The 21,208-nt window shown below is 37.8% G+C and overlaps 1 protein-coding gene across 26 annotated transcripts in view, besides 5 other annotated features; it reads left to right on the forward strand.

The window, feature by feature from the left end:
• The window catches only part of AUTS2 (activator of transcription and developmental regulator AUTS2), a 1,195,032-nt gene that overhangs the window by 625,955 nt on the left and 547,869 nt on the right, over nt 1-21,208 (forward strand). The gene's annotated exons all lie outside the window — the stretch shown is intronic.
• Nucleotides 12,816-14,200: an enhancer, noted in NCBI's record as "VISTA enhancer hs658". NCBI's record gives its function as "enhancer in: neural tube[9/15] | midbrain (mesencephalon)[11/15]" and the evidence as "EXISTENCE:transgenic organism evidence [ECO:0001131][PMID:17130149]".
• Nucleotides 12,816-14,208: a biological region, named in NCBI's record as "VISTA enhancer hs658".
• Nucleotides 13,509-13,618: an enhancer, noted in NCBI's record as "active region_26105". NCBI's record gives its function as "activates an Ori minimal core promoter by ATAC-STARR-seq in GM12878 lymphoblastoid cells {active_cell/tissue: GM12878}" and the evidence as "EXISTENCE:reporter gene assay evidence [ECO:0000049][PMID:35858748]".
• Nucleotides 13,639-13,808: an enhancer, noted in NCBI's record as "active region_26106". NCBI's record gives its function as "activates an Ori minimal core promoter by ATAC-STARR-seq in GM12878 lymphoblastoid cells {active_cell/tissue: GM12878}" and the evidence as "EXISTENCE:reporter gene assay evidence [ECO:0000049][PMID:35858748]".
• Nucleotides 14,129-14,208: an enhancer, noted in NCBI's record as "active region_26107". NCBI's record gives its function as "activates an Ori minimal core promoter by ATAC-STARR-seq in GM12878 lymphoblastoid cells {active_cell/tissue: GM12878}" and the evidence as "EXISTENCE:reporter gene assay evidence [ECO:0000049][PMID:35858748]".

The raw sequence follows: 21,208 nt of genomic DNA on the forward strand, positions 1-21,208 counted from the left end.
AAGAAAGGTTATAGAATATGGATATAAAGGAAGAAAGTATTTTTATACAGCTGTACATTTTTAAGCTAAATGTTATTAAAAAGGATTCAAAATTTGAACAATATATAAAGTAAAAAACATTACAGTAGGCTAAGGTTAATTTGTTATTGAAGAAAGAAATTTTTAAATAATTTTAGTGTAACCAACATGTACAATGTTTATAACATCTACAGTAGTATACAATAATGTCCTAGGCCTTCACATTCATGCACTGCTCACTCACTCACTCACCTAGAGCTACTTCCAGTCCTGTAAGCTCCATTCATGGTAAGTGCCCTATACAGGTGTACCATTTTTTAATCTTTTATACTATATTTTTATTACGTCTTTTCTGAGTTTAGATATGTTTAGATACACAAATACTTGCCATCAGGTTACAGTTGCCTACAGTATTCAGTACAGTCACATGCAAGTTTATAGCCTAGGAGCAATAGGTTATGCTATGTTGCCTAGGTGTATAGTAGGCTATACCATTTAGGTTTGTCGAAGTGTATTCTATGAGTTCATACAATGACAGAATCATCTAATGACACATTTCTCAGAACATATTCCCATCGTTAAGCAACACATGACTGTGCTTAGTCTTCTACACAGGCTTAGTCTTCCTTGTTAATTGAAACTCTATGTTTCTTCTCAGTTTAAGAAGCTTATTTCAGGACTAATTTTCCCCCTTTTAGAATAAGTTTCCCACATCACTTGGTTACATGACAAAACAAGTTAAATCACTGTCCCTTTTTGGGTTTAATATGTCCAGATGCAAATTAAAGAAATAAAATCCCTTAGATTTTTCTGTATCTTGTCTCCCTTCCTCATTTTCTGCAGAACAGTTTTTAAAAGTTAATTTAGGAAATCTCCAAAATATTAGATTAGCATGACTTCAGAGCTATAAGGTTCCTGAAAAGTTTATGTAGAAATGTTGTTTTTAGTGCTTTAATTTCTCTTATAGCATCTTGATGGGTAGTCATTCTGCCTAAAGGAGAACTGAACTCATCCTGTGTCCCAGGAGCTTTGTCATATGAAAAGTTGTAATCCATTCTGGTGCTTCAGATGTTGAAGGCCCAGTGAAATTCTACAAGATGGCTGCCACTTGAGCTTTGGCCTTGCAAGTGGTTAGGAAGATGTTGGTCCTTTAATCTCTGTACAGGGGTTCAGAAGTAGTTGATAGTTTACTAATGAAAAATGTTATATGTAGCAAAACACAAGCAAAAAAATCAAAAACACTGATGACTTATATAAATTATTAACTTAAGGAAGATTATGGTACTTGAAAAATTATTTTACAAAAAAAGATTGTATTAGGAATTTTTTCTGCTCTTTTTTCTCAAGTTAGTACCAATGTAACATGGCTGTGTTCATGTAATTTCTTTTCTCAATTTGGTTCAAGATTTGTGTAGCTCCCAGTGGTAGATTTTGCGGTTGTATTGCATGATTAAAGTGTCCATCAAAATCTTACAGTTGGTAAACAGTATTAAAAATCCATCTCCAGCCTCTGTAAACTGTACAGAGAGCTATGAATACTAGAAGAAATGGAAGTATTTTAATTAACCCAAGTAGGACTAATCAAAGCAGAGCAACCAGTTTATTCAATTGAACATGTAAATGTCTATTCATTCTTGACATGGCAGAACATTTATGTCATCTATTAAAAGCTATTCTGTTGCTTGTATGATTATAAGCTATTGTTCAACGGGGAACTGAATCTTGTAAAGGCTTCCCCACCCCACTTTTTGTTTTTTTGAGAGGGAGTCTCACTCTGTCACCCAGTCTGGAGTACAGTAGAGCAATCTTGGCTCACTGCAAGCTCCACCTCCCAGGTTCATGCCATTCTCTTGCCTCAGCCTCAGCCTCCCAAGTAGCTGGGACTACAGGCGCCCACCACCATGCCCGGCTAATTTTTTTTTTTTTTTTTTGTATTTTCAGTAGAGATGGGGTTTCACTGTGTTACTCAGGATGGTCTCAATCTCCTGACCTTGTGATCCGCCCTCCTTGGCCTGCTGAAGTGCTGGGATTAGAGTCGTGAGCCACCATACCTGGCCCCCCCTTTTAATAATTACATATTACAGATTATTTTTTAACATGCTTTTTGCTGTATTCAGGCCACTTCAGATAACCCAGCTTCTTGCATGAAAGAATACAGACTTGGGTAACTTGGTTCAGCTACCCTGCCATCACCTCTTTCCTTCAAAGGGTTTTCTCTTCTTCATTTCTTCATAATAATTCTTAGTAAATATCTACTACATGCTGGGTACATGTATTCTAAGCATGTTATATGCAGTATATCATTTAATTTTTGCAACTATATTGTTATTTTTTCCATTGTATGATGAAGACATGGAGGAAGAGTGTTGCATAGTGCTGTAAGTGGTAGAAATAGGATATGAACACAAATCTCAGAAGATCCATTGTGTTGAAATGAATTTGAGTTGTACCAAAGGTGATTGACATTAGACACCAGGAAGAAATTTTTGAAATGAGTGGATGCTCTAAGGAGCCTTTTAAGTGAGTACAGCTAAAAGGGGTTGGGGTGAAGGTAGTTTCCTGGGATTTTTTATTACCATTAAGACACGTAAAAACAGTTTGTATAAAATCCCATTTTTCATGAATTAGTTACATTCTTACCTTGAGCCAGGAAGTTAAACTAGATGGCTGTCTGAAGACCCGGGTAATACATTTAATACAGTCTTATATGTGTATAAAAAGTGGAAACAATGATTCTTTTAACTTTTAAATATGAATTTTTATTGCAACAACAATTAGAAAATATAAATAATACTTACACCCCTGCCATTCTAATGTAACACTTAGTTTTGGGCCTACTTTTTTCTGGTCACTTTTCTCATGCATTTAAAAAAAAAAAAACAACCTTTTTAAAGGTTTTAAAAACGTTTCTTAAAATGTAGTGTATTATATTTATGCCCAAAAATCTATCCATGTTAAGCATATAATTCAATGAGTTTTAGTAAATTTGCAGAGATTTGTAACCATCACCACAATATGATACAGAACATTTGCATCATTCCAGAAAGGTTCATGAGCAGTCTCTCTTCTTCTCCATTCTTTGATTTCTTAAGGTGGAAGTGTCTGTTACTGGTTTACTGTTTCTTCCTTTCCAACATAGGTGTTTATGGAACTTCTTTAGCTGAAGTCATGAAAATTTGTATATTCTATTTTTATTTCTATTCCGTTCAAAATATCTTCTGATCGCTCATGTGATTCATTCTCTTAACTCATTGGCTATTTAGAAGTCTATTGACATATTTCAAAATATTTGTGAATTTCCCAGATTTTCTTGTTGTTTGTTTCTAATTTAATTAGCAATACAGAAAATATACTTTATGTGATATTAGTCATTTTAAATTTATAGATAGTTATGGCCTAGCATATGATCTATTTTGATGATGTACCATGTGTGCTTAAAAGGAGTATGTACTATACTCATTTGGGGTGGAGTGTTCTTAGGTCAGTTTGTTTGATAGTGTTGGTCAAGTCTACTATATTCTTGTTGGTTTTCTATCTAGGTGTCCTGTTTATTATTTAGAGTGGTATATCACAGTCTCCAGTTATTTTTGCATTGTTTGTGTCTCCCTTTAGTTCCGTTAGATTTTGCTCCATCTGTTTCGGGGTTTGTAGTTAGGTATATCCATGTATATCATTGTATCTTCTTGGTGGGTAGACCCTTTTATCATTATAAAATCTCTTTGTCTCTAGTAACAGTTTTGCTTTAAAGTCTGTTTTGTCGGACAGTATTCTCTCTCCCCTTTATTATTAAACTACATTTAATTTGTATTAAACTACATTTATTGTTCACATACTGTTTTTCAATCTTTTTTAAACTTATTTTTGCATTTGTATGTAAAATGTATCGCTTTTAGAAAGCATATCATTGGGTCTCTTTTGAAAAAAATCCAGTCTAACAATCTCTTTTTTTTGAATTTTAAATTTATTTATAGTTAATATTATTATTGATTTGATTGGATTTATGTCTCCATTTTGATTTTCATCTTTTTTTGTTCAGTTGATTTTCCTTTACTGCTTCTTTTGTAACTAAATAGGTGTGTTTTAGTGTATCATTTTTATTACTTAGTTCATTTTTGCTCTATGAAAATATTTTTTTCTGAATGGGTTAGGGTTTATACATGCATTCTACCTTAACACAGTCTATTTTAGTTTAATACTGACTTTGTATTAAACTTTGTCAGTTTAATAATGACTTTGTATTAAAGTCTGTGCAGTAGTATGCACAAACTTTGCTTCACTATAGATCCATGTCACCATCTTTTATAGCTATTATTATCACATACATCTATATATCTTATATACCCAACAATGCAGTATTGTAATTATTGCTTTGTATAACCTATGCTTAAAGAAGTTAAGACAAAGACAAGAAAATAGAAAAATGTATGTATGATTTCTTTCAACATATAAAAACCTATATGCTTACTGTTTCCATTACTCTTCATTTTTTAAATGTGGAATTGATTTATGGCTTGGTAGCATTTCTTTGGCACACATAACTATATTCTTTCTCTCTTTCTTTGTGCTACTATTATTATATATATTAATCTTTCTATATTATATGTCCTACAACACAATTTTACAAGTACTGATTTATGTAGCTCTTTTTTAAATCGTTAGAGACAAGAAAAGACAAAAATTATATAGCCTCCTATAGTTACCTACATAGTTACCTTTAACAATGTTTATTTTTCTTCATGTGGATTTGAATTAAGGTCTGTTGTCATTTTGTTTAATCCTAATGAACTTTATGTTTTGTAAAGCAGGTGTGCTAACAGTGAATTCTTTCAGTCTTTAATAGGGGATTTCTTAATTTTGCCTTCATTTTGAGGAATATTTTTGCTAGATACAGAAATTTTGGTTGACATCTATTTGTTTCTTTGAGCACTTGAAGACATCCTCCCACTGTCTTCTGCCTTCCATTATTTCTGATTGGAAGTTGGCTGTTCATCTTATTTTGGGTGCCTTGTACATAGTGAGTCATTTTTACCCTTGATACTTTCTAGATCTCCTCTTTTTCTTTGCCTTTCAACAGTTATATATGAAATGTGTAGATGTGGATCTCTTTGTGTTTATCCTACTTAGAATTATTTGATAATTTTGGAAGTTTAGATTAATGTTTTTCATTAAATTGGGGGAGGTTTTTACCATTATTTCTTCAAATACTTTTTCAGAACCTTTTTCTCCTCTTCTTGGAATCTCCATTATGTGTGTGTTTGTTATATTTGAGGTGTGCTACAGGTCTGTTATGTTCTGTTTATTTTCTTCATTTTTTCCCCCTGTTCTTCAGATTTACAACCTGGATCAATCTGTGTTGAAATGCACTGATTCTTTCTTCTGCCGTTCAAATCTCCTGGTGAGGTTCTCTAGTGAATTTTTTATTTGTTACTGTACTTTCAGATTTCAGAATGTCCAATTGGTTCTATTTAAGAATTTCTACCCTTTTATTGCTATTCTCTATTTGATGAATTATGACATCATGCTTCCCATTAAATCTCCAAACTTTTTCGGAAGGGGATCTTTGAATGTGTTTATAACAGCTGATTTGAAGTCTTTTTCTGTTGAGTCCATCATGTAGGCTCCCTCAGAGATAGTATCTATTGACTTTTTTTTCCTTTTGGAATGGTAAAATTTTAATTTTTTGCATGCCTAATATTTTTGCTGAAAACTGAACATTTTAGATAATATATTGTAGCAACTGTATAATCTGATTTCCCCATCTCTTCCCTCACACATACCTAGAGTTAATGGTTGTTTCTTTTTTGTTTTTTGTTTTTGCTTGTTTTGGGTTTATTACTTTAGTTTCTTACTGGAATGGTTCTGTGCAGCATGTTTCCCTCATAATGTGTGGCTGCTGTTGTCTCTACTCCATTGAGTTTGCCACCACCCTTACCACTTATATAAGCCTAGCTTTCTAGGGACCACCCCTGAAATCAAAATAGTTGAGTGCTCAGTTAAAGATTGGCTAGAGATTGTATCTAAACACTTAGAACCCCTAAATCACTGCCTTCTGCTTTTATGATGGATCCATAAATGATTTGGGGAATGAATCAGCAGTCAGCCTATTTACCAGTCTGGCCCAAATCTTAATTTTTGTGTTGTAAGGCCTCATGCTCAGCAGAAATAAGTAGCTTACTAAGGCTTTCTGCAGGCTCTCTGAGCAAGTGTGCAGCTTTGTGCATATGCACAGCTTTCCAGGCCATCAGAGATAAGTAGGATCGCATCAATGCCCTCTTTCAGTTCCTGGATCTGCCTATTAATTTTCTGACTGGCCTACTGGTTTGTTGCTTGCTTCAGTCAGTTATGAGATTTCAGGGTAGCTGCAGTGTTGTCCTTTCCTGATTGTTTGCATTAAGATCACTATTGTTTTTGACAATACCCTTTGTCATAGAATTTTCCACATAAAATCAGTCATTTCTAGGATCAGAGCCTTCATCTTCACAGCACACCCACCCCGACAGCACTTCTGCATCAGGAAGCAGGGGTGGAACTAGGGAGTGGGAGTAGCACCGCACTAAAGTGCTATAGACTCTCACTGTTGTCAATGAGGTTCGGTGAGTTTTCTTGAAGAAACACTTCTCAGTTTATTGCATGCCTTTGGTCAATTTCCAGTGTCCTTTAGAGATTGTTTTTGACAATTTTGTTCTGTTTCATTGTTTATTTTTGTGGCAAGGATTTGCCAACCTCCTCACTCAGCCATTTTGGAAGGTCTGCTGTCTTGGGTATGTTGTTGTTGTTTAGAAACATACATGCTACAAAGTACACTCTTGAGTATACAGCTAAAGATTTCTTACATGTGAAAACACACTCGTAATCACCACCCAGATTAAGATACAGGACATGTCCAGCACCCGTTAATCTTTCCTTCCTAGCCTTCTAGTTTCATCCCAGAGTTAACCACTGTCCTGACCTCTGTCATTACAGATTACTTTTTGTAATCTGTGTGGTTTTTTTGTTTTTTGTTTTTTGTTTTTGAGACAGAGTCTCACTCTGTCGCCCAGGCTGGAGTGCAGTGGCACGATCTTGGCTCACTGCAAGCTCCACCTCACAGGTTCACACCATTCTCCTGCCTCAGCCTCCCGAGTAGCTGGGACTACAGGCGCCCACCACCATGTCCAACTAATTTTTTTGTATTTTTAGTAGACACAGCGTTTCGCCATGTTAGCCAGGATGATCTCAATCTCCTGACCTCGTGATCTGCCCGCCTCAGCGTCCAAAGTGCTAGGATTACAGGTGTGAGCCACCACACCTGGCCTAGATATGAGGTTTTTTTGTTTGTTTGTTTGTTTGTTTTGTTTTTTTTCTTGAGACAGAGCATTGCTCTGTAGCCAGGCTGGAGTGCAGTGGCGCGATCTTGGCTCACTGCAACCTCCACCTCCCAAGTTCAAGCGATTCTCCTGCCTCAGCTTCCCGAGTAGCTGGGAGTACAAGCATGTGCCACCATGCCTGGCTAATTTTTTTGTATTTTAGTAGAGACAGGGTTTCACCATGGTAGCCAGGATGGTCTCAATCTCCTGACCTCATGATCCGCCCACCTCAGCCTCCCTAAGTGCTGAGATTACAGGCATGAGCCACTGCATCCAGCCTATAATCTGTGTGTGGTTTTTAAACTTCATTTGAATGAATATTTAAAATATGTCCTCTTTTTCCTCTAGCTTCTTTTACTCAACATAGTAACTTTTGAAATTTATCCATGTTTTAGGTGTAGCAGGGATTTTTAATTTTTTAATTGTTGTATAATACTTTATTAATAGATATGCCACAGTTTCCTTATTGTGGGACATTTGGGTTATTTCCAGTTTGTGGCTATTATTAATGAAGCTGCTATGAACATCCTCCTCTTTGTCTTTCTATGAGCATACATACGTACAGTTTTAACGTGGTCAGCAACATAATGCATGTGTAATTTAGGCTCTTGCTCTTTTTTTTTTTTGAGAGACAGAGTCCCACTCTGTCACGCAGGCTGGAGTGCAGTGGCACGATCTTGGTGCACTGCAACTTCCCCCTTCCAGGTTCAAATGATTCTCGAACCTCAGACTCCCCAGTAGCTGGGACTACAGGCGCATACCACCATGCCCAGCTAATTTTTGTATCCTTAGTAGAGGTGGTCTTGAACTCCTGACCTCAGGTGATCCGCTTGCCTCGGCCTCTCAAAGTGTTGAGGATTACAGGTGTGAGCCACTGCGCCCAGCCTGGGGTCTTGCTTTTTTAAACTTAGCATTATATCAAGTGTTTTTCCTTATCTCTGTCATTGTCATGACAAGAGTCATTATTTTTTCAGGTAGGTATACCGAAAGCTATTTCCATTTCTATTTTTAGAAAAAGTCAAAGGCCTGTATTTAATAATTACTCTTGACAACACAGGTAGCAGTTGATGCTCAATTCAATAAATATTTGTTTTCAACTTTTAAAGAAAAACTCCAGAATCGTATGCTTTTTAAAAATAGTATTTGATTGAAGATTAAACAAAACTTACTGCTTTTTCTGCCCCTTGAAATGTTCCATAACTCTATGCAATTCACATATTAGTAGTATCACTTTTTAAATGTACAAAAGCAGACATTACTGAGAGCCTTGGCCTCAAAACATTCATTTGATTGCCTTTCTTTAAAAACATATTTCATACTGGGTTATGGAAAACTCAGCATTTGGTTTTGGATATAAATAAAGCCATATGACCTTTCATATTTAGGAGCTGAATCCCTCTTGTAGAAACTTGTGATGTTGCTTTGCCCACTTTCCTACCCTCCCTACCACGTCATCCAACACATGTGCACTTATGCTCATTCACATACACCTCGCAGGCTCTCTGTGTCCTGGGACCTACACTTCACATAGTACTTGGAAATATTTTCTCTTGAGGAAATGGATATTAGAGTTGCAATGGTATAGGAACTGTATACGTTTTTCCTATCTATACTGTGGTTTTTCTTTTCAAACATTGTCGAGATTTCTGATGGATAACAGTAGTTGTGAAAGACACAAGGAGAATGGGAGGGAAAGGAATTGCTTAATGGACCTCACATAATTGTGACTATGACTCCAGGTCTGCTGCGTTTAGAAATGGAATTGCGGGCAGATACATTTGTCAAATTTAACTTAATCCCTTGGCTTTTATCTGATGTATATTTTTCCATTAACACAGTATACCTTTCATCTCTACTTTCACACAGTCAAACAGCGTCTAATTTTTGGTGGACTTTCTTTTCTTCTTTTTTGATGCTAACATTATCCCCGTAGGGTCCTAATCAGGTTTTAGACTATGGAGAGAAGACCATAAGAATCACCAAAGCGGAATTTCCCATTGCTGGTAAAGAGATGCCCAAGATGCAGAAGGCTTGAAATAAATCGGGCATGAAATAAGTGGCGTTACAGCCCTATACTGGCTTTACCGCAAGGGTTAAATTTGCTCAGTGTCTGCAATTTCACCTTTCCTGATTGTCATACAGAGTGAGATCATTGTCCAAAGGTTGATCATGTGGAGGATGTATGTGCTTTTGAAGTGATCAAACTAAAAGAGAAAACAAAGCTCATGGCTGAAGTCATCACACCTGAATACCATCTTGTGATGTCATGGTTTTATTGGTATGAATTCTAACCAAGCTGTGGGCATTTAAGTCATATTTGTGGATCAGAAGCCATAGATATTTGCGCTTCTCATAGGCTGTGCTTTTCTGATACTTTGATCATTATTATATGGTAACTAACATATATTAATATATTAATGTATTATATCATATTTATTTAGACCCCAGTATGGATACTAAATGGGATAAAGCATATGCCAAGATTTTTTAGGTCTTGGGATTATTTAATTTTTTTAGAACTGGCGTTCATTGATTGTCATTCACGTTTCTCTTCACTTCCTTATGAAAAGTTTCTCAACTCTTCTCTCAGTATTTTCTTTTCCCCTGTGAGATATGTTTCCTTTTACACTTTTTCATTCCTCTACCAAATAGTAATAATTGCAAACATTTATTGCATGTTTATGTGTGTACCAGGTGCTATGCCAGTTGTTTTTATGTGTATTTTCTCAGTTGCTGTCTTAACGGCTCTGTGGTATTTTTATCCTTGGTTTACAGATGAGGAGACTGAGCCTCTTTTGGTCTCTTTCCCCCTTTAAAGATAAACTCCTCCTATCTCCTTAAACTGAGCTTGTAACCTGGACCTCTGATTCAACAGCCCACACCCCAATTTGTATTTGGCTATTTGTATTGGGCTATTTGGGTGGTGGTCCTTTGAATGTTGTTGTGCTAATGGAGGCCTAAACGTTGAATCCCGTGAATGGAAACCTCTTCACATCTTTACTGCTTGTCCTGGGATCTTCACACCTGGAATATTGATCTTCACCGAGTAATTTGGGAAAAACAGAGGCAGAGGCTGGAAGCTGCTCACCGTCCTATGGCAGGGCAGGTAATGTCCTTAATGAGATGGGCTTATTCCAGTGGAGCAGTGGTGGGGAAGCAAAAGCTTGGTGTTCTCTCCTCATGGTTGCGAAAATATTCACATAAAAGATTCACTAGCTACTGTTAATAATTGAAGGACTTTCCTCAAAATCCATGTATTATAACGGTTTAATATACTAAAATGATTTGGAGGAAATCGGCCTCAGCATTGGTGAATGTGTTGACATATGAAGCTATTATTTTTATAATTCTTATTTTAGAGATGGAGTCTCACTGTCTCACCCAGCCTAGAGTGTGTTGGCAAGATCATAGCTCACTGTAACCTGGAACTCCTGGGCTCAAGTGGTCCTTCTGCTTCAGCCTCCTGATTAGCTGGGACTGTAGTCACATGCTACCACCCATGGCTAATTAAAAAAAAAAAAATGTGTGGAGACAGGATCTGACTATATTGCCCAGGCTGGTCTTGAACTCCGGGCCTCAAGTGATCCTCCAGCCTTGTCCTTCCAAAGTGCTGAGATTACAAGTGTGAGCCACCCCACCCAACCTAAAGTTGTTTTAAGCTTATTGTGTGCATGTTGGTTGTGTCACCAGCCGGGAGGGGCTTATAGGCTGCAACACTGTTTTCTTTCCTATACTACCTTTATTATCACGTAATAACTAAAATACGTACTATCTGTTTTTAGGTGGATGCTCTGCTTCTCTTGATAGATATGAAAGCAGGATACCTATCTTCCACCCCTGTGTTTTTCTTTTTTCTTTTCTTTTCTTTTTTTTTTTGAGACAGAGTCTCACACTGTTGCCTGGGCTGGAGTGCAATGGTATGATTTCGGCTCACTCCAACCTCTGCCTCCCAGGTTCAAGTGATTCTCCTGCCTCAGCCCACCATGTAGCTGGGAGTACGGGCACCCACCACCATGCCGGGCTAATTTTTTGTGTTTTTAGTAGAGACGGGGGACGTGATTTCACTGTGTTGGCCAGGCTTGTCTCGAACTCCTGACCTCGTGGTCCGCCCACCTTGGGCTCCCATCTACTCAGATGTCCTGTCTTCACAGGGGCCCTCTTTGACCACCCTCTGTAAAACTGTACTCATATTATTCACTATTCTTTACCTTGACCCTGTATTTTCTTAGCACTTATCACTATTCGATATAACATTTTATATTCTTCACCACCAACCCAGACTAGAATGTCAGGTCCCTGAAAGTGAGGTATGTGCCATACTCACCACTTTCTCCCCAGTATCCAGAGTGGTGTGTGGTACATAGCGAAACTCAGTAAGTATTATTGAATGAATGAATGAACACAGATGACTAGAAAAATTTCTAGAAAATTTTAAAACATGGGCATATTAGCCATGAATTTAATTTATAGTTTTGTTGTTTTCTTTTGGGTATTCAAAAATATAATTTCATTTGTTTATATCTCTAATGAGATAGTACAGTATTTGTGATTCTTCTAGTGTGATGGCATGTACAGTTTCATTGGTGAGTATATGTGACCTACTGTGCCAGGTGGAAATGGAGTGAATGAACATTTTGGGGGGAACTAAAAAGCAATTTTCAACCTTTTTGATAAGCTAGGTTAATACTGTCTTCTCAATAAAAAGTACTTTTTCTTCCTCTTATAATGTTCATGGTCTTCATCTGTATGTGTATATTGCCGATTTAGGAACTAAAGCCGAAATGGATCTCAGACTATTTCCCACAGACTGGTAGCTGTATCCCCTCTGTCAGCAAGTATTTGATATCTTCAGTGAAAATTGTTTCTTTTTCCACTTTTAGCTTCTGTTTAGTTTTACAAGTCTAAACAATTTTTGGCAAGTGCTAGGGGCTCACCTGATGCACTTTTTAATGCATTCCACTCCTCGTTGTTATTTTCTCTGTCCAGTACACATGGTGCTCCTTCCCCCTCATTGCCATCCCACTTTGGCAGAAAGCATTATGGATGCTGTGTATGTAGACTCATCACCCAAGCCAGCATGCATGGGAGAGGGGGCCTCTAGAATAATAATTGTTACTTGGTGTTCTCTGTACTACTCTGTTTAATCTCCCTGCTTACCACTTACTGCCTTCGTAAAGTAAGCTCAATACAATTATTTATTGCAATTTGTGTAGAATGTCAGATGTGGAACAGACTTTGCACACTCATCAGATCCAGCCCCTTTGTTATTTAGATACAAAGACTGAGCCCTCAGAGAGGAGTCTTGCACTAGACTCTAGACCTCCCTTGGGCAGGGGACTTTCTTGTTCACTGTTGATTCCTGCTTGTCTAATACAGTGTCTCCATGTAATAGGTGCTCAATAAAAAATATTGCATTTTTCAAAGTCTCATATGTAAGTAGTGATGGCAGGGCCAGAACTTGAACCTTGCATCTCCTAGTTATTTGTTCATTGTCACTGCCACAATTATCTCATTGTAGTTTAAAGAGAGTCAGCTTCCAGTCTTTTAAAATACAATTACCTTTAATTCATCTGTGGTAAACAAACAGCAGCTGTCTCTCATTGGCATGGCCGCAGTTCCACCACTGAGCAATTCTAGAAACTGACACTATTAACCATTCTGCTAAAAAGGACTCTTCTACTCATATGATATCCTGGCTGTGTCCAAAGTGTAATATTTAATTGCATTTTCTTAATCTTTACCACTGTATTGCTAAGCTTTCTAATACCTTCAAAATACCAAATCTCAGGCTTATCCTAATTAAAGAATCTCAATTTAATCCATAATGCATGACAATTCAATTTGTTGATTGCTTTTTCTCCCCCTCTTTGTGAAATTCCCGTCAAATGTATTAATTCAACATGATGAATCCTGTATTCAACCCACTGGAGTGAATAATTAAAATTAGCTGATAAAACTTTCAGCAGAATTACTTTGTGAAATTGCTGAACAGATGTGTCATTTTAATGAAAATCCACAGACAAGCTCCTTCTCCCCCTCGGCAGGATAAAAATATTATCCCCTCGGCACATACTTAATTTGGTGGTAAATACACTCGGAGCGATTGCTGGAAGGGAAGAAAAAGCAACTTGTCACACTTAGTAACTTGATTTTTCCCCAGCATGCAGTAACAGCTATCTACAGTAATTCATAGTGCTCTATTGTTGCTGCAAGTCCCAAAGAGAACTTATTAAAATGCAATAATCTCCTATTTAAACAGAAACAATAACCATTAAATTTCCTGTGGATCCAAAATTGAGCACAAGCCCCATCTGGTAAGAGTGATTAGAGGCCTGATGAGGGAATTTAATTTGCAACATTCAAAGACTAAATCTGAGCAGATCTTGTCACCTGGGACTCGAGTGCTGCTTGCTGTCTTCTTAAAAATCTCGACCTAAACTGAAAATGGAATGTAGAAGTGAAAATGTTACCCAGGGGCCACCCCCAACAGTATTGTGTTTCATTATGTCTCCAGCAGGCCTAGTGAGCAGAGGGGATTTTAGTGCTGTCCGCTTTAGCTTTGCCGGCAAGGCCTTTTGACAGGACCAACACTAATGCTGTCATTTCCTCTACTGCCCTGTGCATCTGTCATGTGGCTGCCCCTCTTAGATCGTGGACTGCCTGCTCCCTCCCTTCTTATTTACTTTCCTCTTTTAGCTTAGCAAGTCCTCTCTCTAACTTTAAGAGTTCTCTAGATCTCACCAGTCTCCCTTTCCTGTCCAAGGAGTCAGATGCTTTCAGCAGGCTACTTTGAGCACCACTGTATCATGCTTTACATTTTATGTCTCCTCCTTGCCTATAGACAGTACCCCCTCTGAGTTTATTATTAGTGTTTTTTTTTTAACTGTAGGAGGACTAAGATTTATTGCATGTTATTAGTAAATACAAATTGTCATTTTCCTCCTCTTCTTAGCTTTTCTCTTACAATCCCCCACCTTATTTATATTACTTCTGAGCTCCAGAGAAACAAGATATGCGTGCACTCATCATCAGAGAGATGTGTTTCTGTGTATGTGTGTTTGTGTGTGTGTGTGTACATGCACTTGTTTGTGTGTGGTTATAGGCCTGATCAGACAGATGTCAGTTTATCAATTAGTAGAACTCCCTAATTAAGTATTTGCTTTGAGCAATAGAGCTCTTATTGGTTGTGAGGTAACTTGGCAGGAGGGAGGCAGTTACCGATGTAATAGAGATGCCTGAGCAGATAGTTTCGTTGAGCAGATACTATTTGATGTCCTTTAATCATCAGACTCCTCCACTTTTCCTTCTTCTGGGCTCCTGATTTATCCCTAAACAATCAGAGCCTCTCCTCCATAATTTTATGAACTACAAAATTTACAAAAATGTTTTACAAACCCTCTGCCTCCCCAGTATCTTCTCCAGCCCCCATGTCTTGGGGCAGGCCACATCAGGTCTCTCTGGCTGCTTCCTTTCCCAGGCCCTACTACCTACTCTGGCCCATCATATGTCTTTTGAGAAGATGATTTTTCAGTTCTTTTCTTTAGTTTAGAAAATCAGAATTAATTGATTAATTTTTAACCCCTTCTACCTTTCTCCTCCCCTACCATATGAATTCATGCAGAGCCAGCCCTGCAACCTAATTTTTTTTGTTTTGTTTTTGAGACAGAGTTTCCCTCTTTTTGCCCAGGCTGGAGTGCAATGGTGCGATCTTGGCTCACTGCAACCTCTACCTCCGGAGTTCAAGGGATTCTCCTGCCTAAGCCTCCTGAGTAGCTGAAATTACAGGCACCCACCACCATGCCTGGCTAATTTTGTATTTTTAGTAGAGACAGGGTTTCCCCATGTTGGCCAGGCTGGTCTTGAACTCCTGACCTCAGGTGATCTGCCCACCTGGGACTCCCAAAGTGTTGGGATTACAGGCGTGAGCCACCATACCCGGCCCCTGCAACCTAATTTTTAAGGAGAGGTGGTAAGGTTCATTCCATGAATCATACCACTTGGAATTCTTGAAAAATTAATTGCATTTATTGCACACCTACTCTCTGTAAGGCAATGTACATAAGAATGGAGGAGATACTAAGAAAATTGAGTCCCACTCCTATTGCCGATCGGGAAAGTACGGCATAAGCACATGAATATTTAGAGGTCCTGTGGTTTAAGTAACGGTAGGTAAGGAATCATTGGGCCAGATGGGATCAGTGACTCACTGAATATTATAATCAGAGATGTGAGTGCAGAATAAGGAGGAGATATGACTGGGGACTGGTGTAGTTCTTAGAGGTTGCCTGAGCTGGCTAGCGTGACATTCCTACTAAGCAATGAGCCTAGCAACCAGAATCTCCCAGCCCCGGTAGCCAAGGAGCACAGGTGGTAGGCTATAGAAGGAGATTTAATGCAACACAGCTGGGTTCAATATGGTGCCTCTTTCAGAGCCCTGGCTACAATTGATGTAACCTGGTAACTAGTAGCTTTGACTTTGATGTCAGACACATCTGGTTGTGAATATTCCCTGAACCACTCTTAAGAGTTTCTCAACTCTTTGAGTCTGAGTTTTCTTGATTGTAAAATGGTGTTTGATAATACATATGTGGTTTTCATGGGGATTTTGTAAAGTGCCTGGCATATGGAAGGAGCTGGGTAAATGATGGTAGTACACTTATAATCTTAAGGGCAGAAGGAATGAATTAAATACAGAGTGAGGCCTAGGGACTCTTGCTATGCTCCCTCCTGACTCCGGTCTAGTATTACTAACATCTTTCCAGAAACCATTCTTCTTTATGTTGGTTTTGGCCCTTTGTGTCCCCATCTCTAGCCCTTTATTCAGTTGGTCTGCTCAAGGCTTGCATGCCATTTTTGGCATTGAACATGTGATCCTCTAGTTTAATATAGCATGTGCAATATGGTAATTTAAGAAAATAAATGTCTGTATGCATAGAAAACACAGCATCCTCCTTTAATTCATGGGTTTATGGGAGATTACAGTTTTCTTTTAGTTTAAGCCTACAAAGTGTTTATAGTAAAAAAGTTTCAATGAAATGATTTCCAATTTATATTTCCTTTTCACTCACCACCACAAGTCAGAAATCAAATCTTATGCTTAGAAGAAAGCAACTCCAGGACTGTATCCACTTCGGGTTTTGAATAACAACAGTAAGGTGGTCTGACTCCAAGATTAGGTCCTTGTTGTTTGGACATATCTAACAAGGAACTCCATCCCCAAGTGCTGGAGAATCCATGAAGTCAGTGGTGTCTTATGAAGCTTGAGCAATTGGGAAGCCTTCCCAGTCAGCTTTTTGGCCTCCTCTAGGTCTTAATTACAAAGCGGATTCATGGTCCTGCCTGAAATCTGATTGAGACATAGACTCCTCTATCCCAAATGATATCATTATCAACATTGGTTCCCTGTGGTACACATTTGTCATATTCATTATGATTTGTACCTAAGATTCCAGGCCACAATAATAGGGTAAGAGTGTATAATGGGAAAAATAACACAAATCGTTTTGATTTTCTTTAAGGAAATTCATTGCCTTAACATTACATACTTGCCTTTGTTTTAAAACTCACTCTATGCCTTATCTAAGAGGAGTCAATATAAAAGATTTTAATTTTAGCCCCATATGCTGTAGCTATATATAAATGTTCTGTAAAATATATCCCCTAGATAAAAGTACTTACTACTTTTTTGAAGTTTTTTTTAAAACCTTTCTTTTGGTAAATAAAAGTCTTTTTAGCTTTGATGTGACTATTACACCCTTGGTTTGGGTTCTTTCTCCATTCCTTCATCCCTAGCCCCTGTGGGACCCCTGTAAGAAAAATGGGAGGGGAGAGAAGCATGAATTCCTTAATAAGTCCCAAAGGTAATCAAAAGAAAGAAATGCAGTATGAACAAACTCACAAAATATTCTTGTGCTTCTTTGGGGAATACTTAATGCACATAAGGTCAGGCCTTTGTAATGTTAATTTGAGAGTGTTAGGAAGAAAGCCATCATTTTACAGGCAATGTTGCTCTCTGAAAAAAGCTTTGATTTACAGAGAAATGCTGTTCTAACACACCTGCATTAAACCAGTGCCTGCCGACTTTGAGAGGCCTGAGTTGCTTGAGCAGAGGAAATGCTTCATTGAGGATGCTTAGGGCATTTGGCTGAAGTGGTAGGAAGTTTGCCAGAGGTCCTATTTTCCTGTGGTCAAAACAACCTGTTCAGTTTGGATATGGTACAGCCCCTATTCTTTAGACATGTGCAGAGTGACAGCACAATTCCGCAATGGCCTCCTTTCCAAGATTGGCCTTAGGGAGGGAAGTCTTACCAGACACAGTGGCAACATAGTTAGTATAGGTATCTTGGTTATAGAGGTTAGACATGAATAGCCTGGTTTCCACCTCAGGTGGTTGCCCGTGCCTTCTCATCAACTTGTAAACCTCCATACTGTGTAGAGGAGATTGTGTGGCTAGAAGGAATGGATTCATCCCAAACCCCCAAAACAGGATTCGGATAAGTGACCATCCAGCCTGCACCAGAGCATTGCCAGAGACTGGCCATTAATTATCTTCAGAGGCCTCTCAGTTCATCTTTGGCTCTCCTCTCTCATCCATTTCTGTTTCTTCCTTCTTCCATCCATACTTCCCCTGCTCTTTCCTCCTGCCTTTTATATTGGTCTGTATTCTACTTTTGGGTGTTATACAAATCAGAAAACATTTTTATGTTAAAACAAATTAAATATGAATACTCTTTGTGAAGTGCCTGACATGCAGTAGGCACTCAATTACTTCCTCTCTTCCATCCTACTGTGTGATAACTCTTCTAGTAATTGAGATTATGTTATCATGAGACTACATGAAAATATTATCATGCCCCTTCTGAGTTAATCTTATTCAACCTGGTTTCTCATCCCTTCATCTTCTTAGTCTCCCTGCCCTCAAATAGTCCACTGTGTGTGCACGTGCGCACATGTGAGTGTATCTTAAAGTACAGTTTTCAAAACTAGCTGCACTTCCCTATGTTGGGTCTGATTTGCCAATTTTTTATGAAGGAATAAGCAAAAAGAAAGAGAGCAAGAGAGGAAGAGGGGAGAAATGCCGTGCTTTTCTAGAGGAGCAAATATATGGAAATTACCCTTGTTTCTTCTCTAAAGTAGTAAAGGTCACAGCAGTAGTTGCAAAACCCGTAGGCCGCCTACTGCCTTCCACACATTCAGCATTACTATTCTTGCCTATTTTACCCTTAGGCATCCTTTATTTCTTGCACAGATGGTCTCACTCAGGCCTAACAAAATGTTTTAAGCTTTGCATAAATTAAAACGAGGTCTCTGAGTACAAAAGTGCAACTTGTTTTTTACTTGAAAACAACTATGCTGGCATCTTTTACAAAATTACAGCCTCAAGCCAGGTTTCCATAATCAGTTTTCCTTTAAAAAATAGAGAGGAAAGAATGTATCCTTGTGTGTGTGTGTGTGTGTGTGTGTGTGTGTGTGTGTGTGTGTGTGTGTATGAGTATATATATAATATATGTATGTATACCAAACACAAATGGTCCTAATCAATGGGATTATGGCTTTTATGATGTTCTGTGTTCCTTTGAAGGTTGATCAGGCATGAGTGGTGGATGATTCAGTTTGAATAAATAGATTTGGAAATATTATTTTGGGGGTCCAGGATTTCTGAGTTTCTTCATTAGTTTAGTACATGATAACAACTGTTGAGACATTTCAGTGTGCGGAGACTCCCTCCTAGAACTCTTTACTATGTACCTTATAACAGGGTTTTACTCAGGCTAACCTTGACTGTGCTCAATTGAAAGAAAGTGATGAGTCAGCTCAAAGAGAAATAGTCTGTTTCTCCCAACTCTGCGATAATGTGTCCCAAAGTAGTGACACATGGCATATTCCATTCTTAAGATAACTGGCAGACAATTTGTACAATCTTCTAGACACATTGCTTCCCTTTGATTCACACATCATCACCAAAAGGGTAATGCTACAAATCTTTTCTCTATTCATGACTACTCTTAACAGGGATATGGCTTGTAAAGAAGCTTATTGATGTGCTTTGCTTGAAATAGAATCATTAGACTGGGCCTGCCCTCTCATTTTTACCTTGACAGTAATAGTAAGAGTATGGGAGATACTCTTACTCTTATTATTACTATAACTATAATAGTAATACTATTACAGTATAGTAATACTATTACAGTAATAGTAAGAGTATGGGAGATACTCCTATTCTTACTGTTACTGTCAAGGTAAAAATGAGAGGGTACTGTGTGAGTTATTTTTTATATATTGTCATCTTTTAATAACCCTATGTGCCCACTATAGAGAAGTTGGAAAATATAGAATAGAAAGAAGAAAAAGTTATTTTTTTATTTTCCACAGTTAATATTTTCACATATTATTTCATTATGTTTATTTCCTCACACACTAGTGATCATACTTTCAACAGATCATACTGTAGATATTACTGTAGATGTTATATTCATTTGTTCACTTAAACTAATAATTTGAATATACTTTACTATTATTAAGAACTCTTTGTTAAAGATCAAATTGTTTTAAAACTTAAGTTAGAGAGGCATTTATAGCATTAGATAATGCCAGCCAGGACATATACACTATCTTTAAAAATGAATCTAACCCTTAAATGAAATCCAGCAGCCAATCTAATGTTTCTTTGTAATAAGCAAAATATTTTTCTGTGTTATTGCATCTCACAGGAATCTATTCCTAAAGGATTCAATAGTAAAGATGCTCAGTAATCATGCTCTAGAGTTTCTCATCCCTCTAAAGAACACACAGCAGTTCTGTGAATGACTAAGGATCAGCAGGAATGGATGTCAGGTGAATGTTGGCACTACTGGATACAATTGATATGCTTTATGGATTTTTTGTTTCAATGTGATTCTGCATAGATGGCACCTGTAATTATGACCATTTGGATCATGTGAAAAATGATAAATTTTCGGTGAAAGGGAATGGTGCTTGATCCTTTTCTTTGTCTTTGAACTGTTTAGAAACACTAAACTTAACTGATAAAAGTAAGTGCAAGATGGCCGGGTGCGGCGGTTCACACCTATAATCCCAGCACTTTGGGAGGCTGAGACAGGTGGATCACTTAAGGTGAGGAGTTTGTGACCAGTCTGGCCAACATGGTAAAACCCCGTCTCTACTAAAAATACAAAAATTAGCTGGGTGTGGTGGCGCATGCCTGTAATCCCAGCTACTTGGGAGGCTGAGGCAGGAGAATCACTTGAACCCAGGAGATGAAGGTTGCAGTGAGCCAAGGTTGCACCACTGCACTCCAGCCTGGGTGACAGAGTGAGATCCTGCCTCAAAAAAAAAAAAAAGTGTGTGTGTGTATATATATATATATATATATATATAAAAAATAAAAAATAAACAAAAATTAAAAAGTAAGTGCAAGACATCTTAGAAGTATTGCAGTTTTTTAAAGCTCTTGACAGAGTAACTTTATTCATGCAGGTAAATTCTAGCTCTTTTGAGCAATATGTTAATAAGTCACTGCTAATGGCCTAATAGTTTTTAACTTACAATTAAAGACCCATGATGGAAACTGGCAGCAATTTCATAACCCACCAGTCTAATTGTTTCACAGTGAACAATTATTTGCCTTGCGAATACTTACAGTAAACATTTCTGTAAAGTTTATCTTTGTTTCCTAAACAGTGATATTTGTTTTGTACATTCTGTAGATGGAATATATTCTGCAGTTTGGTTTTTCTGCTGCTTAGTTGCTGAGAATTGACTGTGTTGTTGCACATAGCTGTAATGCATTCATTTTCACTGCCCTGTAGTGTTCCATTGTATGAATATACTATGGTTTACATATA

This window comes from Homo sapiens, chromosome 7 (genome assembly GCF_000001405.40).
Source record: "Homo sapiens chromosome 7, GRCh38.p14 Primary Assembly".
NCBI classification, from domain to species: domain Eukaryota; kingdom Metazoa; phylum Chordata; class Mammalia; order Primates; family Hominidae; genus Homo; species Homo sapiens.